Here is a 23,560-nt window from a genome sequence, read left to right on the forward strand (position 1 = left end):
CCTTGGGCTCCATCTGAGGGTAGCTAGATGCTGATTTCTTGTTTTTTCATCAGATTGCCACACTATTGGTATACAATTTGGAAAAGTAAATATAATGCAGTATTTCTTATTTAAATATATTTAGTTCACATTAATCTGACAGGACACTGAAATACATGTCTGTTTTTCATAAAAATTTTTTCACATGATATGGTATTGCATTCATATTTTTAGGGTAAATCACATACCCTTGTTTTCTAATTTTCCTCTTTAGAAATGTCCATGTTAGAAGTATTTAAGTTGTTTTCCTCGTGTAACATAAAGGATGTTTTATTTGTTTCAAATTCATCTATGTTTAATTTTTTTTCCTATGGACTACAAAAGTGAGAGCATACAGGTATACTGACAAAACCAAACAAAAAACACCTATAATTCCAACCACCTAGAGAGAACTCATGTTAACACTTCCTGTATAACCTATTAGATCTTCTAAGTTTCCATTGTCATTGCATTCCCAGCAATGAATTATGTGGGACAGGAAAGAAGCCTCTGAGAAGCTGCAGTAACATGTAATTGTACACTGTACCTGTAGCCACTTTACCGATGCACACACAGCAAGCTCCAGGCCTTAGCCGGTAGAAAGCAAAGCAGAGGAAGCTTAACTCTCCAGTCATTTGAAGATGCATAGCTTGCATATCCCTCAGAGACCCTCAGGATTCTCTGGACACTGGAGCCAGGATGGGAAGGGTGATCATAAGAGAACAACTGGCTCAGGAGTGTGGGGAGCAGTAGTCTTCATGCTATAGACATACAGTTTCTGGGTGGAGAGGAGGTCAGCAGGAAAGAATGAATAGACAACCACTGTCACCAGCACACCTTTCATTTTCATACTCATTTGCACTATTTCAAGGCCTTTTTGTATTTATTACAAGTTTTATATTCACAGCATTCCTGTGCAGTATTATTTGTTATGCATATTTTATAGATAAGGAGACAAATAGAAATGTTAAGTTAGGTAGTGGCAGAATTAGGACTGAATTCCTTATCTTTTAATTCTCAATACAGTGTCACTTCAATGTTGTCTCACTCCCCTAGGTTTTGGCAGCATGATTTGTCTGTTAGAATAGCCAAGCTTTGAAGTTTGAAAAGAAGGGCTGAGAAATCACTGGAATAGTAGGCCACATCTAAGGCTAAACTAATAGGGGATTCTTAGTCCAAGTATGAACCCTTGCAAAGTCTTAACTGTGTTACCAAAAATAATAGGAGCTTCTTAATCACAAACTCTAAACATAAAACAGGTATCTAATAAACTTTGTTTTTTCTTTTAAATTTGTAACTGCATCTTGTGGATGCAACTTTTAAAATAAGCTGCAGTCATTATAATCTTCTTAAGACTAAAACCTAGATAACCTAGATAATATTTATAAAAAACGACGTCTTCTTACTATATTTCTGTATGCTAATGTAAGTGGGTTTTAGGACCCTCTGAAGCCAGAAGCCTTAATGGGCCCAGAGGGTCTTCATGGGATTCCTTACATTCATTACATTCACAGTTGAAAATTCTGCTGTGTTCTAATGAGAGGCTACATGAGGATCAGAAAAACTAGCCACTCAGTTTCAAACTGCACCTGGAGCTTGTCATAGATGCACAATTGAGCAAAATATTCCTTTTTCCAGACTCCAAGTCATATCCTGCATTGCCCAGCAAGCTTTGTTTTAGGAACATTTGTGTCTGCATGTTTATGCTACCTTGGGTGTTAGTCAATTCATAGTCTCAGGGAGGATTTCTAAAGTTCACGGAACTTAACTCCACTAAACAATGTAGCTAACATTGCAGAGATCAAGAAAGTGGCAGTGACACCTGGAAAGGTTTCAAAGAGGTCAAGATATCTTAAAACCACACAAGAGGTTGCTAACAACAGTAAGTCCCAATAGGATGAAGAGAAACATGGACACAACCAATTCTAGAAATCCAAAGCTGACAAACCTTTTAGAATTGAAAGTCATAAAATGCTCCTTATAGTTTCTAACACATGCTCTGGGGCAGAATCACTTAACATTCTGGATATCTCACAACAGTTTCTTGCCTAAACAAACAAAGGAAGAAGAAAACTATTTCCTAGGGAATAATTGAATATATTCAGCTGCACAGAATCATAGATGCCATCACAAAGGGCTCTTAAATATTCCAATTCAGTAGACTTTAGATCAGGTTGGATGAGAACAATAACCAGCAAGGGACTGGTCTTCAAAGAAGTATGTCACATTATGCTACGTTGAATCTAGGGACCAGAAGTGTGAGTTTATAGAATGTTTCCCCAAAATATAGGCAGTATATGCAGTTCATAGTCAAGGGAGGCTTTGTTTAATTTAGACAAACCAGCTATAGTGACATCTCCACCAACTGGTAGGATTTATATAGAGGCTGTTTAACTTCCTTTTCTAGTTAATAGAGAGCACTGTTGGTTAAACTGCTTGGAATAGTATTGCCTTTATCTTGTATGTAAGGATTTACACTTGCTTTTAGCCTCAAACATGTATAATTTATGGGTTATGCATTTTTTTCAGAATTACAGAATTCTAGTTACCAATGACTTAATTGTGGTAATCAAACCATCAAGCAAGTGGAAATAGGCTCTAGACAGAGCTATGGAAAATAATAAAACATTTATCCAAAATGAATATAACGGAAGTTTCATAAGCTTATGAAAAAATAGCAAATATTTAAAACTACAGGTCAGGCATAGTGGTTTATGCCTGAAATCCTAACACTTTGGGAGGCTGAGGCAGGAGGATTACTTGAGGCCAGAACTTCTCAAGACCAGCCTGGGCAACATAACAAGACCCAATCTCTATAAAAAAACTTAAAAATTTAAAAATCTAAAAATTAAATTTAAAAATTTAAAAATCTCCACAAAAAAATTTAAAAAGTATGTGTGGTGGCACATACCTGTAGTTCTAGCTACTTGGGAGGCTGAGGCAGGAGGATTACTTGAGCCCAGGAGTTCAAGACCAGCCTGGGCAATATAATGAGACCCCATCTTAAAAAAAAAAAAAAAAAAAAGCAAAATGTAACAAGGTAAAATTAATTTTGATGAGCAGCAGAGCATCTTGGAAATATTCATTAAACAGAGTGACACATAGTGACAAAAATATAAATCCTATATTACTTTAAAGCAGAGGTGGCAAACTTTTCCTGTAAAGGGCCAGATAGTAAATATTTTAAGCTTTCAGGATTTACAGTTTGTTGCAGCTACTCAACTCTGTGTAAAATCAGCCATAGGTGATATGTAAACGAATGAGTGTGGCTGTGTGCCAATGAAACTGTATTTATGGGCAATAACATTTAAATTTCATATAATTTTCAAACATCACAATTACTATTCTTTTGATTTTTTCCATCCATTTAAAAATGTAAAAACCATTCTCTGCTCACAGGCTATCCAAAAATAGGCTACATGCCAAATTTGGCCTATAAGCCTAAGTTTGCCAACACTTGCTTTAAGACTTCTCAGTTGATCAAATTCAGTAGACTAAAGGTTTGATTTAAAATTGTTTTCACTCTGACCTCACTGGTATTCCTATCATTTGAAAGCTTGGTACAAAGTTCCAGAAATTGAGAAATGACAGATAATAGTTAAAATCTAACTTCTATGTAATTAACCTGTACTCACCAAATTACAGAAAATATTTTTATTATACTCATTCTGGTCCTAATCAGTACATAACAGAAAGTTCTCCAATTTTTGTTTTGTATGTAACAATATTTTAAAACGAGACCTGGTAATTTTTTCATTTGTCTAAAACGGAAAGCAACAGGTTTTGAGTATCTGCCTATCTTTTAGTAATTCCAGCCAGTTGTCAATTTCATTAACTAGACTGTAATTCTTAGTTACTATGCTTTACAAATCCGTTTATATAATGCATGTATACATATATATTTAGAGAAAGAGCATATTTCTTGTTGCCACAGTAACAATTTAAAAACTTAAAAAGCCGACTTGGGGGACAAAGAAATACTCTGTGTTGCCAAAGCTGATAAATTTTTCAAGTGTTCTCCTATGTGTGCATGCATGTTAAAGTTTGTTTAGAAAGGGCAAATGAATAGACACTATTACACACTGGAGTTGCTAATGGAATTGGTACTTTATTTCTAGAAAGCAATTGGGTAAGAAACTTCAAAGCTATTAAAATTATTGTAGATTTTGACCCAGTAAGTCTCCCAGTAGTAATCTACCCACTGGAGAGAAGGCAAATTAAAACAAAGATTTTTATACCATAAAAGTTAATCACAGTTTGTCACAAAATATTTAAAGCACCAAAATGTTCACTTTTAAGGAGTTAAGTAAAATCTGGCATAAGACTATCTTATAGATATTTTATGGGATCTTTACATTTTTACATGGAATGGAGGAAGTCCTACCTATCATATCATATCATATAAGTCAGAAAAGCAGAATATGAAATTCTATGTATACAATGTGATCATAACAACACACAAGCAAATGCACAAAACATACTGGAAAAAGACATGTCAAAATGTTATCAGTGGTTGCCTCTGAATTTTGGGTAAGGTGATATTATTCTATTTTTGTCACATTTTTATGTACTTTTCAACTTCTTATTAAGGAGAAAGAAATTAAATTTGAGACATTAAGCACCCCCACACACACACCCAAAACTCACATACAGACTAAAAGGAACTTCAAATATTAATTCTTAGGAACAGCACCAAGTGTAATGATATATCAAGAGTGATTATCTTTATTACTTCTTATACAAACTATTGCAATAGTTTTTCTCAATTGTTCTCTTAGTTAACAGTTTTGCCCTGTTTTAACTCTGATTTATCTCTCAGACTACAGCTCAAGCAATTTTCCTAAATACTTTGATTGTTACACTTTCCTGTCCAGAAACCATCACATGCTACACCATGATTTATTAAATAATATCCAAATTATCTGACCTCCAAGGGCTAACTCAGTCTTTTCACAGGCCCTCCTGCCATTATTTCTCTGTAGCTGTTTATTTAGTCTCCCTCACATTCATTTTTTTAATCAGTATATTTTCATGTATTACTTATTGCGTTTAAATATATACATTCTTCTAAGGAACTTACTGTCTATTGAGGGACCCAGAAAAGTAAAAAATTATTATAGACATGACATTGTCTATCAGTCTATCAGGATATCATTGCAGTAGTTCAGGACAGAGAGAAATGAGGGGTGAATAATGAAAACACTAGCCATAGGGAAGAAATGCCAGGGAATCAGGAAGTAAAATCAATTGCATCTGGATATGAACAAAGTCTTAATGGGAACCCAAAGGAAATGTTTCCAAATCCAACATGAGGATGGGAAGCTGGCAAGGCTTCCAGACAGAAGGGATATTTGTATTACACGTTAATGCCTTGGAGTTAGCTAGGCCAGTGAAGTGAGGGTGGAGGCGATATTCCAGCTAAGAGGACCAACATGTGTGAAAGCCACAGAGACATGAAACAATATGGCACAGAAGGATAACTTGACTAATTTGGCTACAGTGTAGAGTACATGTGTGGAGCTGCAAGAGGGGGAAGTAGGCTAAGGCCATGAGGGCTCCTGTATGCTGTGCTAAGAAGTTTTAATACCGTCTTGAGGCCATGATAGCACAAAGGTGTGATAATCTACGTACCCAGAGAGATCAAAGTTAGCTTTCCACAGAAGCTAAGTTTGAACAGTAAGTATAGGTTGGCCCAGCGGATGACAGTGGAGGAGTACACCAAGAAGAACAAGGGAGGTATATATAAACAGCAAGTTATGGTCAAGGGATTTCAGGTTTTGTGCAGTGTAACTCAATCATAAAAATTGCAGAAGAGATATGTGCTGGTCCACTGGCTCTTAGAGTGGTAGTGGTGGGGAACCCCTGATTGTAGGGATGGCCAACTTTCATGGTGTAAATACTCCAAAGCTTATTTCAGGCTACCAATGGGTTGACCACCAGTTTGCAAAATCTCTAAACACTTAATTGCTGGTTTTCACAAACAAGTATGAGCCAGCTCCAGCACACCACTGTCTGGCAGAGTTGTGTTCTCAAGAGCCTGGGAATCCATTTCAAGAAGATATACATCTATGTGATGGGCAGCTCTTGGCTACTGAATGAGTTTAAGTAGAGGAATGCCAGGATCACAGATGTATTTCAGAAAAGTTCTACTAATGTATTTGAGAAGACGGTCTAGAGAAGATTGAGAATACAAACAGAGACTACTATGGTCACTGCTGCGTAGTGCAGGAGTGAGAGAGATTATAGTAACTGAGCTAAGACAGAGTAAGGGCATTAAATGATATAAATGCCTAAGAAACTGATATTTCTGTGAATAACAGCAACACATTCTGAACAGAACTTAAAAAAAAAAAAAAAAAAAAAAACTACCTGAAGGCTCTGGAGACTAAACAAAGGCAGATTTTGGAGGGGAGTCAAAATTTTGAGCAAGTAATTTGCAGGATGACTTTCCCATTTTTTTGGCTTTGCCTTGAGGGCAACTGCAGTCACGGCAGCACAGGGGTGGCCTATCATCTTTCTGGCCCAGGGTACCAGGGGAAATAGCCTAGGCATCCTAGGCTGCTAGAGTGTGAAGAGAAAACCCTGGAGAGGAGAAAGCCATAAAATGGGAACATAATATTTTTAAATGTAGCCCAACTGTTCAGCTGACTGCTGAACCACACACATGCATGGGGCAAACTGAATGCAGTTTGTACCCAAGGCTTAAAGAAGTAAACTAACCTGAGCTGCTGCTCACCCAGGTATGAGAATTTCCAGTTTGAGTCTAAACAAGTTAGTTGCCTGTTAACTACAAACATCAACACTCTTTGGAGCAGTCATAAGAGAATCCAGATTCTCCACAACAAAACATGTACAATGTCCATAATATAACCCAAAATTACTTGACAGATAAGAGTCAGAAAAAAAAATGTTAACTCAATTTCCAGGGAAAGACAATTAATAGATGCTAATCCAAAGATGACCCAGATGTTGGCATTATCGGACATGTACTCTAAAGTGTCTGTGTCAAAGGTGAAGGGATTTTACAGATGTAATTAAGGTCCTAAATTAGTTGATTTTTAGTTAAGAGAGAAAATCTTGAGTGGGCCTAATTTAATCAGATTAAAAACCCTAAAAGAGTGATCGGACCCTTTTGTAAGGAGAGAGAGGCATAGAGGCTCCTGCTGGCCTTGGGAAGCAAACTGTCATGTTCTGATGGCCTATGAAGAGGGTCCTGGGGCAGGGAGCTGTGGGAGGCCTCCAGAACCGGAAGATGGCTGCCAGCACCAGGCAGTAAGAAGTTAAGGCCCTTGTCTTACAGCCACAAGAAAATAAATTCTGCCAACAACTTAAGCAAGCTTGAGTAGAGTCTTACCAAGTCAAGCCTCCAGATCAGAATGCAGCCAACTGCAGCTCATTTGGAGTCTTATGAACCCTAAACAGAGAACGCAGCTAAGCTATACATGGACTCTTGACCAACAGTCACTGTGAGAGAGTAAATGTGTGCTGTTTTAAGCTGCTAAATTAGTGCTAATTTGTTACAGAGCAATAAAAACATAATAGATGGGCCAAGCATGGTGGTTCACGCCTGTAATCCTAGCACTTTGGGAGGCCATGGTGGGTGGATCTCTTGAGTCCAAGTGTTAAAGAGCAGCCTGGGCAATATGGCAAGATCCTGTCTCTAAAAAAAAAAAAAAAAAATTAGGCATGGTGGTGCACACCTGTAGTCCCACCTACTCAGGAGGCTGAAGTGGGAGGATTGCTTGACCCTTTGAGGCAGAGTTTGCAGAGAGCTGAGATCATGCCACTGCACTCCAGCCTGGGCAACAGAGCAAGACCCTGTCGCCAAAAAATTTATATATATATATATATTTGGAGACAGGGTCTTGCCCTCTCCATATATATATATATATATATATATATATATAAAATACATGATGGAAGAAAAAAGTAAATTTGAAGATACCAGGAACATCATTATGAAACTACTGAAAAACAAAGATAAAGAGAAAATTTTGAAAGCAGCCAGAGGAAAACAACGCATTACCTACCACACATTAGGAGAACAACAATCAAATTACTATGGACTTCTCTTTAGATACTATGGAGGCTAGAAGACAGTGAAACAACATCTTTAAATTGCTGAGAGAAGGTTTAACTTGATAGAGGTCTGTTTGGAAGATATTTGGGAGGTTAAAATCACCAGGATTTATTATTGATCATGGAAGAGAAGAGTCTGGTTTGACTCTGAGATTTCAGACTTAGGTGATGTGTTGCTAGTTTTGCTATTGGCCAAGACAGGGAGCTGAGTAGGACAATGTTTGAGAGACAGAGAATGGGGCAGGGTGTAAGAGCATAACAGAGTAATCGTGACAACCATTTTGGACACATTGAATTTTAGGCTGCTATAGAGGGCAGGAAGGATGGTATATTAGAAAAAGCACAAATTTGAAGCCATAAATACCTGAGTTTCACTCCTAAGGTTTGATAGCTGCATGAAGAGTGGACAGTTTCTTAATTTCTTGGCACTTCAACTTCCTCTTCTGCATAATTAAGAGACTGTTGTAAATATTCCATGTAAAACATTTATAAAGTTCCTAGTAAAGGACTCAGCTTGGCTGGGTGCAGTGGTGCTTCACACCTATAATCCCAAAACTTTGGGAGGCTAAGGTAGGAAAGATAGCTTGAGGCCAGGTATTTGAGACTAGCCAGGGGCAACATAGCAAGACCCTGTCTAAACAAAACATTCTTTAAAGTAAAAAGAACTTGGCTCTCTATAACCAAGGGTTCCTTTTTAGTCCTTTTCCCCTAACTAGACATCCAAATGGACATGTAAAGTAAGCAAATTCGATGTAAGAGGCTGGAGCTCAAAAGAATAGTCTGATCTGGAGATATAAATTTGGCCTGTTATTGGTGCCTAACTAGAAGTGGGAATAAGTGAGCATTCCCAAGGAGAGAGTGCTAAGAGAAGAATTATCTGTTGCTGCAGAACAATGTACAATGGTATACGATAGGCATACGATAACTACAGTAGACATTTCCATGTATAAAAGTAGGAAACAGAAGACACACAGGAGTTTCTGGTCCATAGAAATTATTAAATTCAATCAGATAAATGTTGGAAGTTTCTTAATTAGTACTCAGTATTACTCCTGCTTAGAAATAGCTCCCCGTTGCTCGTGGCTTTGTGCACATGGCTCCAGCCTCTGAGTCACCCATTCTTTTCCATGAAAAGTAGCTTTTGTTTGCACCTTGTAGTTTTCCCAGCCTGCTTTCTGCTGGTAGAATTTTGAAGGTTCAGAGTCCTCTTTTCATTTTGTACTGTCTTTATCTCTTTCAGTCTAAGTTGGCAGTGTTTCTGCCAATATTATTCTTTAAACAACTTTGTAGGTCTCTTTTTATTCTTACTGAGGTTTACTATATTAGACAAAATTAACACCCATGTATCTTTTAGATAAGCCCTTCTCTACTTTAAGATTTTTCTGATATTACTGAGGGACATAACCCTTAAGAGTCTTAGAACTCCTTTTGTTTGACTAGCTCTCTGAGCCATCAATTTAGGTCTTTCTAAGGTCTTTCAAAAGATTTTACAGGCATATTATTTGCTTCATATTTAGACCCAGCTTTTCCAACCATGTCCTGGATTTGATCTTTGCTGGGAAGCCATTTCTTGATTTTAGCATCATTTGCATCTGATAAAGCTAGGAACTTTCAAAATAGCAAATCCTGGCTCCTTTTTATCTGACGGTCCTTCCTTAAGCTTGTATCTCCCCTTGTGGGTTTTAATATTAGCAGCAGGTAGAAGCTAGGAGGCACTTCAACACTGCCTGGAAATCTACTTAGCTAGATCATGTAGTTTATTAGGCAAATTTTCTACTTTCCATGTTACTGCAGGTGATAGTGTTGAAAAACTTTCTGCCACCACATAGCAAGGATCCCCTTTCCACCCATGTCCAATAACATTTTTCGCACTCTGTAGCTGGCAGTCTCCTGTAGGGCCATCACGTTTCTATTAATAATCTCTCTGAAGTATGTAGACATTCACTAACAGCCTTCTCAAGTTCTTCCAGTTTTTACTCACTTTCCAGCTCCAAGCCTCCTCCACATTTTAGGCTTTTGTTACAGTAGTATCCCATTTACAGATACTAAATCTCTATTAGTCACCTATTGCTGTATAAAAAATTACCCCAAAACTTGAGTAGTTAAAGCAATAAGCACTTATTATCCCACAGTCTTGTTAGTCAAGAATTTGGGGCATGGTCTAACTAAGTGATTCCAGCTCAGCGTTTCTGATAAGGTTGTAATCAAGACATCACATGGAGCTGCACTCCTCTGAAGGCTCATCTGGTCTGGAAGATCCATCTCCAAAATACTTACCTACATGCCTTTTGGTAGGAGGCCTCAGCACTCCACTACAGGGATCTCTCCAGAGAGTTGCTCGAGTAATCTCATGACATAGCAGCTGCTGTCTTCCAGATCAAGTGATCCAAGGCAGAAGCCACAATATCTTTTATGTCCTAGCCTCAGAAGTCATTCATTGTTTTATTTGTAATATCCTACACAGATCTGTCCTATTCAGTGGGGGGAACATAAAGGCACAGATAACAAGAGGCAAGGATTACTGGGGCTGTCTTGGAGGTGAGCTTGCAAAAGGATCAGTAGCAGAATTTGCGAGTTGGGCTGTGAAATAGAATGTATTGAGGGGAAATAAGAGCTATGAGGAAAACCAAGATGTCACAGGAAAACCAGGACATAATGGTGTTTTAAAATCCAAAAAGGATATTTAGGGGGATAGAATTATCAGTGTTGTTAAATGTCCTAAGGGAACTGAGTGAGGTAAGAATTGAAAAAAAGAGACCATTGTATTTGGCGATTGGAACATCATTGATGGCTCAAGGAAAGCACTTTCAGTAGAGAGAGGGATAAAAGCCAGATTACAGTGGGCTAAGAAGTGAATGGGAAGTGACGAAGTGGTGATGATGAGCATGAATTTTTTTTTTTTTGTCTTAATTATGTGTTAGCTACAGAAAGCCACAGGTTTAAGGAACAATTTTAAATGGAAGAGAGTTAGGCACATTAATATAGAAGAAGAAAGAAATGCGAGATTGATGATCCAGAAGAGAGAATGACTAATGGCATAAAATCTTAGAAGGGAAGAAAAGGAAAGAATTCATATCACGAGTGGAAGGATTGACCTTGAATGGGAAGAAGTTTATACCAAATTTTATTGCTGTTTAACAAACCATCCCAACACTTATTGACTTAAAAACCATTTATTAGCTCGTGAGTCTGTTGGTCAGACATCTAGGTGCACTCAAAAGGTTCTTCTGTGGGTCTCACCTGGTCTCACTTAGGAGGCTGAAGTCAGCTGGAGGTCATTCAGGGCTGGGTGGTCTACAATGGCCTCACCCACATATTTAGTGGTCAGCAGGCTGTTTGCCAGGTGTCTTGGTTCTCATCCACGTGATCTCACCAACAAGCTAGCCAAGCTTCTTCACCTGGTAACACTGTCCCAGGAGAATGAGAGCAGAGACTCCAAGGCCTATTGAACCTGGGCTCAGAATTCACCCAGCATCACTTCCGCTACATTCTGTTGCGCAGAGCAAGCCACAAGGTTAAGCCAGATCCAAACAGTAAGGAACTAGATCTTGGTGAGAGTTGCTGCAGAGAATTTGTGGCCATTTGCAATGTACCACAATAGTTTCCTCCTTGAGATAGGAGGGAGAGAATGAAGATGGACATGAATATGGTTGAGGTTGTATTGGATGTTTGCTGAGAATGAAAGGGAAGAAAAAGAGGGCTTTGAATAAGGTATTGTTTCCACAATATTTAATCCTGTATCTTGCTTATAATAGACAGCTGATAAGTGTTCCTTTATTTTTATTATTATTTTTTTTTTTGAGACAGAGTTTTGCTCTGTGGCCCAGGCTGGAGTGCAGTGGCACGTCCACAGCTCTCTACAGCCTCTGACTCCGGGGCTCAAGCGATCCTCCTACCTCTGCTTCCAAAAGTGCTGGGATTACAAGAGTGAACCACCACACCCAGCCAATAAATGTTCATTGAATAAGTAAGTTTTGGGATTTCTCAAGAACATAGATTTAAAATCTTAATAATAAAATTGTCAACACTGTTCTTTGCATAATGTTGGATACTTTTGTATATACTATTAATATACACAGAAAAGAGGCACTGATCTCAAAATATATGCCTCAATATACTGTCAATTCAGTTGGGCTCTTAAGAGTAGCTCCTGGTCACACACCCCTCCCCTTTTCCCATTCCTGCCCCTTTGGCCTCCTTATGGCCTCTAATGAAAAATCATAAAATAGGAACATGCTACAGGAGGAGATTAGCAATATACTTCAAATTGGCCACAACTTTCATGTATGTCTAACTCTTCACATTTTTGTTTAGCCTTTTGTGCTTATTCTATGAAAATTTTTGTTGTTTATCATAAACTGAAAGTATATAGTGTAATCACTAAATATTATATATTTAAAGTAGATGTCATTACAAGTTAAATTTGCCACATATTGTCTTTCTCTAACTGTGGAAATAGTTTCCCAGAAATCTACAGTATCACCCTTATTGTTGTGTAGGGCACAGCTGTCTGCAACTAGCAGTTCCATTTGGGGAGGAAGGATTTTATGCCTTTGCTCCCGAGTGGCAGTAACAAGCTTCTTTTTATTGTTGCTGACATTAAGATAGCTAAAATCAACAGTGAGGTAAACACTTCTTGGGACCATCTGGCAAGCATTTTAATCCAAAATATTCTGTAAACACTGACTCCATTTGAGTACCCAGGAACTACCGTCCAGCCGCCATCAACTGCATTTTTATTTCAGTTTTAAGCAGTAATTGAAATAGCCAAAAAAAAAAAAAAAAAGGTAGTCTGTAGGGATTCCAGGAAACTTACATTCTCTGAGGGAGCTTACAGTGCCTTTTGAAGTCACCAGTAGAAGTAAATGGGGTCCTAGCAGTTTTGGTCATTAAGTATTTAATGCACAGAGCATATTTGGATTTTTTTCATTTTCTGTTGGGAGATACATTCTACCTAAATCAGAGGCAGAAGTTTAGGGTTGAGTTTTCCTTTTCCTTTATATTTCAAAGTTTCTTTGTAAAACTAATTTATAAAATGACCAATTTCAAGAATTTTAAAGTCTTTCACAAGAAATGGCAAAGATAGGATTGTGATAGGGTCCTTTATCCAGTCCCAGGGCTGATTTCTGGAGTTTTCTGCAAGCCTGCATGAAAGAGAATGGGGATATTTCAAGTGCAAAGCGCCCAGAGGAATGGCTGCTGGTGCGGCTAATGGTCTCTCTCTTCCTCCCCTGGCAATAAATCTCAGATATTGAAATATAGCTTTGGAGAAAAATATACTGAAGATTTCTTAAGCTTTTTACAAGACACTCAAAGCCTTTTCACAAGCCAGTGCTCTGCAAATGTAAATTCTTGATGTCTAAACATAAAGGTCCTTTACTGAGCTAATTTTAAATGTGAATTTTAATACAGAGTACTTGGAGAAAGGTAATGCAGCTGGCCTATTAAAGCATGGTATTTTGCCATTTTTAAGTAATGGGAAATACTGATTAAGAATGTTATAAAGATTTCAGCATACATAATGTTGTTGTCTTTAATCATAACCTGTTACCATGAGTCTGTGTAACAAAAGCATTAACTCAGAGACAATGGCATACCTATTATACTGTGGCACTTATTATTTCCGTGCTTTTAAATTATTTCCAGAATATTGAAGAGCTTGTTATTTAAAGGTCAGAATAATGCCCAGGACATGGCCAAGCCCACTGAGTGTCAGATGCATGGAATGTTGGATGACTTCATAGTTATAAAATTATTTCATTTCTCATGATAATTCCGGACTTGCCAAGTTAGTGAATTTTAAGAACTCTGAGAGCAGATTTTAAGATAAATGTGAAATAATCCATACTTCTGGAGTCAGGGACTTCCCTTCAGGCATTAGTTCATGTTTGACTTGCTTGACTTACACTTGGGGATAAAATGAGTTAGGACAAGGTCTTAGATACCACATTCCCTTACTGGGAAAGAAAACCAACTTGCACAACTTTGGCTGGCTCATATTTCTTGTTATACAGGCACTAAGAAGCAGCGGTTGCCATGAAATACTTTATTTAACCTTTACAAAAATGTTTTCTTAGTACAGCAAGGCAGTTTAGTTAAATGAAAATAAATAACTGTAAAAATTTTGGATTTCTCTTATATCCATCTATTGACTTCTTTTTTCTAATTAAAAATTAAAGATAATTACAGTTGTCCACATTGCCATGATGACTAAAAAATGAAGTTTATGTAAAAATCACTTGATCTTTTCTTAGGACATGTGTTGGCATGTCTTCTATTTTACATTAAACTGAATTTTACTGAATAGTGAATGTTACATCTGAGAACAGTTTAAAAGAAAGTTTTTATTCAAACTTTAGGTAGGTTTCTCTATTGTTTGTATTTTGTCAAAATTGATTTTCAAACAAACAAAACCTGACAATTTGACTCCCAGAATATTTATTCAAATCCGAATGACTAACAGACAGCCTCTCCAATTTCTTATCTTGTTGCTCCCATTTCTCAGCTCACCTAAATTATTCATCATCATTTCCTTCTAACATACTGTTAACTCTCCCACTGAAGAATTGGGTCTAACCAAATGCATGATCACCATTGACTATCATTCTGTTAAGAGTTTGTCTGCATAGCATCAGAATCTCCTGGTTGTTGACATAACTTAAGCAATCAAAGTCGTATTTATTTTACTTATTTTTAAAAAAAGAAAATGTGAATTATTTCAGATTTTATAGACAGTCCCTCCTCTTCTGTATGTACATATATATCAAAGTTCTTTGAATCTGTGCTTTTCAACCCTTTGTGGTGGTACCAAGGGTAAACAGTCTTAAGGACTGTCACACAATTCTAGACTTAAGGCAGCTGTTAATATCACAGCTCATGTTTTTTCAGTCACGTATCATTTATAGGGAAGCCTTTAGAAGAATGAAAACAATAGATATGTATAATGTTGAAATGACCTATTTAAAACAAGCCTATTTATCATTTCATACTTTTTTAACTGTATTTATATCTGATTTCATGATTGAAATGGTCAAAAAAAGTTATGCATAAAATTTAAAAATGAAATATTTTAATGCATGAAACATCTTTCTCATTAAATCTTTTTGCAAAAATGTTTATGCAGTATATTAGTTTTCCCTAATTTAGTTCACTTAGATTTAATTTTTTTTTAGCCCAGAATACCCATGAAGCATCTCATTGTTTTGTAGAAAATAATTTAAATGAAAAATGCTACTATTTTCCCCACTTTTCTTTTTTTAGGTTATTTTACATATGTAAACTTCAGCCAGAGATTGAACAGAGAAAATTCCTGAACAATAAAAATCCATAAATAAATTCTTGAATTTAGAGTTGTGTTTATAGTTATTTGTGAAAAATAATAAAAAGATTCTATGGCTTGATTATAGGTATGTTGAAACATGGATTAAGCCTTAATGTTTGCTAGAAACATGTGAAATTTGATACCCTGACTTACCCAGGGAAATTCAAATGACTATTACAAAGTATATGATGAAATGACACAATGCACTGTTTTAAAGCTATGAAGAATATAGATATAACATATGAGTAGCATTATTTCAAACAGCCAAACAGTGACTTTCTTGTCAGTTACTTTGTTCCATTGTCTCTCACGTATCAATCCCTGGTGTTTATTGATGATTGATGCTCTGAGAGGAAATAGCAGTTACTGACCTAAGAGTTCACTTTCTCTTCACCCTTCCTTCCTATATCTCTCTCCCACCCTCTGTCTCAAGATTTGACCTCCTAAAACAATGATTTTTTTATTCCAGAGTGACTCCTTCTTTCCAAAATCAATATTCAGTGACTCCATTTGGGTTACAATCAAAACTATTAGAGGAAAGTAAGCTGACAAGTTGATAATAGAAAGTTAATTTTCTAAATTCTGTTGACAAAACAAATGACCAGGAGTTGTTTTCACAAATAGTTTGAAGCCATAGCTTGCTGCATTTATGGCTTGTCTTTGTTTCTAACACAGTCGGTATGCTTTGTAGACACAAATTTTGTGCAGAAAGAACTACTCCCTCCCTGGTTGTCACATGACAGGTTAGGTTGTCACCTACTTTTGTTTATCGGAAGTAACATTACTGTCATCTTTTGTTCTATTTCAACATGTCTTTCTTATTTTGGGGAGTAAGTAAAATACATTCTCTGGTCCAACTTTTAACTTCCCCAAGCAGAACACCTCAGAAGCCCTATGTTTTTCTTACTCTAAAAACATTTTGCAGTGTAATTATTCTTACTGAATATCTGTTTATCCTACTATATTGTAAGCATTTTCAGCCCAAGTGTACTGTCTAGTTCTTTTCTGTACCTACCATGTGTAGTACAGTTAGTTGGCTTATAGTAAACATTTAATAGCTGTAAATCCTTAAAAATACTTGCCAAATTGAGCCAGGTACAGTGGTGCATGTCTGCAGTTCCAGTACTTGGGGAGGCAAAGGTGGGCAGATTGCTTGAGTTCAGAAGTTCAAGAGCAGCCTGGGCAACACGGCAAAACACTATCTCTACAAAAGATACAAAAATTAGTCGGGCATTATGGTGCATGCCTGTAGTCCCAACTACTCAGAAGGCTGAGGTGGGAGGATCACTTGAGCCCAGGAGGTTGAGGCTACAGTGAGTCATGATCGTGCCACTACACTCAAGTCTGGGCAATAAAGGGAAACCCAGTCTCAAATAAAAAAAAAAAAAACAAGCTGTGGCCCTAGGGAAAAAAGCTCACATAATTGCATTAAATGGCTCCTAAGAATCATGTGAATATGTAATATAGCAATATAGCAAGCCAGACTCTGTGCTAGGAATTATGGAGACTACAGAGATGAACTGAAGATCATGTCACCCTCTTGGCAAAGTGCCAAGAGGGCAAGTTGGGAAAATTTGGCTTTCATTAGGAGGTTGAACTTGAATTTTTAAAATAGAAATGTGTAATTTCTTTTTACCTAAAAATGTGACCTCTGTATGCATCCTATTAGACATTTTTTTTATTTTAATAACATTTTTGTCTGATTGCCAAATAAGACATAGTTGTAATACAAAATTTGGAAATTACCTGAGGAAGCACACAAAACACACATGGAAAAAAGGAAACTTAAAATGCATAATCCTATAACCCTAAAATAACCACTGTTAGCATTATGGCTTATTTCTAGCCTTTTTCTTCCTTTGGAATAGGTATACATACTTTTTGTTTATTTGTTTTACAAAAATGGGGTGTACTGCCCATACCTTTTTGTAATGTGTGTTTTTCAATTAATCTGTTGTTAACTGATAGCATTAACATGTTTTCCTGCTATGACTGTTTTTCAGTCATTTGAAAGTGCTCTACAGTGTAAGTATAGTTTTGAATAGAGGCTCTAAGTAATTTCAGATCTTTTATCTTTCCCTTCCCAACACTCTGGCCCTGAAGAAATCACTCAGCCTCTGTGTACCTCCATTTGTTTTTTCATCTGTCTACCTTACAAGATTGTTTTAAGGAATAAGTAATATTAAAAATCACTTAGCCCAGTGCTTGACACATAATGTCTAATAAAGGAAAGCTGTTTTTATTTTTACTGTGTTATTTGACCAATTTCCTAATGCTGCCAAATTTTTATTAAAATAGCACTGGGATAAACATACATCTAGATACATTCTTTACACACATCTGTAATTATTACCTTAGGATAGATTATTTCATAGAATTGATGCATCAATAGGTATTACAAGTAAGATTTTTTTATATAAGGATTACCTTTCAGCCACAATTTTTATTCCAACCAGCTTTTTATGAATGTGTCAGGTTTCCCTCTATTGTAAGAGGTTGTTTCATGCTAATTGCACAGTATTTGTGGCCTTCAGTTAATTCAGATAATCTTGAGAGAGAACTTACAGCACCCATAGTTTGTGGAAGAATAGCCAACACTTATATCACGACAATGCAGCCTCCATTATATCACACCCTGAATGATTTAGAAAGGCTTTCTCAGTTGAGCTTACTTTCTCTTTTTCTTTTTCCTACCAAAACAAACTACATCAAAGGGTCCAAAAATAAAATTCAGTTGTATTTATTTAAACTTACTCTTTTAGGTGGGAAATTATATTCTATAAATGTGAAAGGATATGCAGGGCCCTCAGAATTTTAGCATTAAAAGTTTCAGCATTGAATTGACACCAAGCATTAGTCATTACCTAGAAATTTTTCTACTTAGTTTTTGGCATTATTTCAGATAACGTTGAACATCCTGAAATTCAAATTCCTTGAAAAAGCAATAATAAGCAACATATTTCATTTTTATGCTAATTTAGTAGTGTGGAATGTACTATCAGTTCCACTTAGACTCATGTATTCCAAGCAAGTGATTTAATTTCGATTCAATTGACTTTCCAGAGAGTATTTTGGATAGACAAGAATTATTTTAGTATTTTAACTTAATTTTTACTCATGATGCTCACCTATTGTATCATTTTGGGCCTACTTGATATTTTAATATCAGTACTGCAGTATCTGAATTATGAATCTGAGGGATTACACTGACTTGGCGTTTAATCTAATATTATTATCCCTGTAAGACAAATCTGTGTTGAAAGATCATTCAAAATAGGAAACTCTTGTAAATATCTTGATTTAATACTCATTTTGGTTTGGGTTTTGTTTCGACATTCTTGAGTTTATTTGGACAGACCTGGGGTGAGAGGGCCCAGCACCTAAAAGAAGGTGTTGGGCCTCGTGGTGTTGAAGCTTGGCTTGTGCTGGCGACGCAGGATGCCATGAGGCAGCAGGAATTCGATCTCGGAGTTGTAGAATGGCTTGGCTGATGGCTGGCAGCACTTGCTGGCTGCAGTTTTTTCTGCCTTCATGATCTGGATTGAGTGGGCCCAGGCACAGTACCCAGTGTCCATGTCTTAGTCTGCAGAAAATAGGAGGCAGGGTGACCACATTCACCAGGATTTGGGCATATGGCCAACCTCCTATCAAGTATCTGGCACATCCTGTTTGGTATAGTAATTGCCTGGGGACCGCAACTGGGGACTGAATTGGGGACGGAGTGACTGCAGTCTCTGGCCCCAGGAGGCACTCATACTAATTCTGTGATACCATTTTATGAACAAATATCACCACTGACATTTTAAGATATTTACTGTTGGTTATTTTGTATTAATCTTGATTTATTTATTCAACAAATATTTATTGAATGCCTGCCATACACTAGGCTCTTGGGATATTACGATGAGTTTAGAAGTTTATAAAATAAATGGGCCGGGTTCAATAGCTCATACCTGTAATCCTAGCACTTTGGGAGGCCAAGGGGGAAGAATTGATTGAGGCCAGGAGTTCAAGACCACCCTGGGCAAAATAACAAGACCTCATCTTTACAAAAAATAGAAAAATTTGAAAAAGCCAGGCATGGTGGCATATACCTATAGTCCTAGCTACTCGGGAGGCTGAGGCAGGAAGATCACTTGAGGGGTCAGGATTTCAAGGTTGCAGTGAGCTATGATGACACCACTGCACTCCAGTCTGGGCAATAGAGTTGACTCTATCTCTAAAACATAATAAAATAAATGGTGCCTAAGTTTTGATATATAAATAATATATAAAAATATATTACCAGAATATATATATATATATACAGTAGTTTATTTCACTTGGATTGCATGTTAATTTTTAAGAACTCTTAAAATTTCTACAATGAATACAATGGATTGGGACATTTTTTGAAGTTGTTTAAATCTCCAGTTTCTGTTTAGAACATTACGTATTACTGTAGGGTAAATTACTATAAAATGCAAAAAAAAAAATACACAAATGAGTGTGAAGATAAAATTTTAATTTGTGATTATTGAAGTAGAAAAAATCTTGACAGTAGTTTTAAAATGAATAGTGAAATATGTAACTTCACAAAAAAGTATTTGGTACCTTTATCATTTATGTTTTAAGATGCAGTTTAACATTTTTTATTTAACCATCCACTTTCTCTTCTTTGGTGTACTCTGTTTTCCTAGATTTTATCTTATTTTTCTTTCCTCTTAAATATATCAATTCAGGAATTCTCCCTTTGGACAAAACTGTAGGTGGTCCTCAGGGCTGATCCCCAATTCCCTGATCAGTAATTCTGTTTTAAGTTTTATTTTGTATAGAAAAAAAATGAGTTGAAAACTGTATATGCTTCCATCTGAGGTCTTCAATGGGAAAACTATGAATTTAGTCTGGCTGCCAGCGCAGCTCTGGGGGTCTGCTGGAAAAAAAGAAAATGTACTCTCTTGGGACCTTCCATCGAGTGTGGCCACTATACAACCTGCCTTATTGCTTAGTTTTAGTTGTCATCGAAAACTTCCAACAAGAATAGTTCCTGTTTGACTTTTCCCCCCACCGTGGAAAATATTAGACACTATCTAAGTAGACCAAAGAGACTGAAAAGCCTGGATAGATTGAATGATGGTAGGGGAAGTAAGGAAGGAAAATCTTAATAGAAAAGAGGTGAAAGAAAATTTCCAAATTGATAAAAGAACACAAAAATGCCCTGGGCTTCAGGCAGAAGGGATAGTTATTTTCTGTGAAGCCCATTGCTTTCCTCTCCCCTGTATTTCTAGCCCACGTTGCCCCTCATGCAACTCCTGCAGTCTTCCTGCCTCTCCACGTGCTCTCACTCTTTGTCAGCACATTGCTCACTTATAGGGAAGATATCAGTGACTATCCACTAATTCCTGCATAAAGTGCAAATTCCTTAGTTTAGTAAATCAGTGCCAGCCACAATCTAAATCTATGTATTTAACCTTATCCTCCAACCCTTTATCCACGTTCCCTTTTCTCTCGCCAGTTGAGATGGTTAACCTTGTCCCGAGCATGTGTACTACTTTGCACATCTCACATTGTCTTTTTGGCATGGGAAGGAACTATCATCTTTGCCAGTTGAAATCCTACCCAAACTCTGAGACCCAGCTGCTTCCCAATGTTTTCTTAATCACAGCAACCTGATCCAGACCCTTCCTTAACTGGACTACTATGTGACTGCTCCTCTCCTTTCCTGACTGCTTCATGTTAGTTATTTGTTCTTGCCTTATTTTCCCTATGTGATCATAAGCTCCTTGTGGGGCAAAGAACATATCTCTTCCTCTATATTTCCTCCATAGTGCCTAGCATATTACCTTCCTTATAGTACTTGAGTAATGAAAATGTGTTGGATAATGATCGAAATCTCATTTGAATCAGGTGATCTAACACAAATGTCACATTTTTTTGTGCCTGATTTTATGCTTCCTTCTGTATAGAAATAAAAATAGGTATGCAAGTATTTGTTACTAAATGGAGACTTACAGTATCTGTAGCAGTGAAATTTAGTCAGTGGGTCCAACAAGAACAAAACCTCTCACGTTAGCTAGGTGTCTGTGCATATCTGAGCACTCACTGCCATCCAGTGCTCAAATCCAGTGCCGCGGGTTCCCAGGCAGGGGTGATTACACCATGGGAAGGAAAACTGAAGTACTGCTAGGCCTCCTGAATTTCTTTTTGTTGGTTTCTCTCAAGAATGTAGTTCCTTTCCTAATGAATTATATGCATCTAATTGCCAATGATATTTAGATGTTTTTTAACAGTAGACCAAACATTACAAATGTTCCATTGATTATGCATATGGGAAGAAGTGTTACAAATGCTTTTCTCCCACTTAATTTTCCTGTGTGAACTAAATCCAAACATATCTGAATTTTCATAATTCAAAGAAAATATCTGTGCCAACATTCTGAGAACAAATAGCTGCCAAGCAAAACCTGACAGCATATTCCTTGGTGACATCCAGTCTTTAAAAGCTGTGTACACAGAGTGAGCAGCTATCTAAAACTGAGCTCATATGCAAATGTGAACATTCCTCACTTAAAATTACATTGTGTACATTAAAACTTTCTCTAGAGTCTATGAAATGTTCAGGAAAAATGTAGCTGAGCTTGATCTTAAGTACCTTGCCTCATTATTTTTTTTTTTTTGTCATTTCTAGCTACTAGTCTGTCCAAAGAAAACAACTTTCTTATTTCTTTTAGTTTTGTGTGTACCCTGAGCTTGATTCCCAGTTGCTGCTATAAAAAACTGAAAGGGTTCCCAACACTGCTATTTTTCTTTTTTTCTCTGTTACTAACATTTAAACATCAAAGATATTCTGGTACTTTTATGTTGTAGAGTATATATAAGACCATATTTTCCCTAAAGGTATTTACTATCCAGGGTGTGTTTGTGTGTGTGTGTGTGTGTGTGTGTGTACGCACACGTGTGTTTTCTTAGCTGTTAGCCTTTTTTAGAAGTCACCTAACTGATAGCATTTTCCTATCACAAGATCACTGGCAGTGCGTGGAGGAAGAACTTGAGTGAGGCCATATTAACAGCAGGGAGATGAGTTAGGAGATTTTTAAAAATAATGTATTCAGATTTAAAAAAAAAAAAAAAAAAGCCCTATCTTAACATCGAAAACGTATGTTGTGATGACCTTGGGAATTTTTTAAATTTAAGCATGTTATCAGGACTCCTCCTAAGGCTGAAACTAAAAACTAACCTGCTTCCACCAAGACATTTAATATTATGGCAATTTCCATGTAAATCCTTAATGTATTTATTATTAGGGCCTTTTATGATAGTCTTACAGGAGGTTTTCAAAGTTTTATTCTGTCTACTAATTGGGAGTTTTTCATGAGATTTACCTTTGGTTAGCTCTGTTAAAAAATTATATGTGATATGAAAGAAAGATTTAAATTGTTTGCATATGATATAAATATATCTTTCTTAAAATATCAGTTTTCAGCCAGGTGCAGTGGCTCACGCCTGTAATCCTAGCACTTTGGGAGGCCGAGGCAAGCGATCTTGAGGTCAAGAGATCGAGACCAGCCTGGCCAACATGGTGAAACCTCATCTCTACTAAAAATACAAAAATTAGCCAGTCGTGGTGGCACACCTGTAGTCCCAGCTACTCGGGAGGCTGAGGCAAGAGAATCGCTTGAACCCAGGACGTGGAGGTTGCAGTGAGCTGAGATCGTGTCACTGCACTCCAGCCTGGCAACAGAGCGAGACTCAAAAAAAAAAAAAAAAAAAAGTCAGTTGTCTTTCCTTGTACTTACAAATCATAGAACGTTGTTTTCATTTAAACCTGTTTCCTACAAAAGTACTAATTATTATTATTTTTTGGAATACTCATATAGTTAAACTGATTTTCTTAGCTGCAGTTAGTGGGTAAGAGTAGAAATAGGACATATATGACCCCAAAACAAATCCAAACATGACCAGACATGGCAATGCTACATGAATAAATATAAATATGTATCAGGAGGCTCAGTTGGTAAATGTTACAATAAGTACATAACAAAAAAAAAAAAGAACAAATACATCATATCTTACATTTAAAATGTTGAGGGTATTTCTAATTTGATATATCTGTGATCTCATAAGGAAAGTATATTAAATGAATTGCATCTTCAAACTGCTATT

At 36.8% G+C, this 23,560-nt stretch overlaps 1 protein-coding gene across 2 annotated transcripts in view; it reads left to right on the plus strand.

Annotated features, from left to right (window-relative positions):
* The window catches only part of VPS13B (vacuolar protein sorting 13 homolog B), an 864,307-nt gene that overhangs the window by 772,087 nt on the left and 68,660 nt on the right, over positions 1 to 23,560 (plus strand). The gene's annotated exons all lie outside the window — the stretch shown is intronic.

Source organism: Homo sapiens, chromosome 8, assembly GCF_000001405.40.
Source record: "Homo sapiens chromosome 8, GRCh38.p14 Primary Assembly".
NCBI lineage: Eukaryota > Metazoa > Chordata > Mammalia > Primates > Hominidae > Homo > Homo sapiens.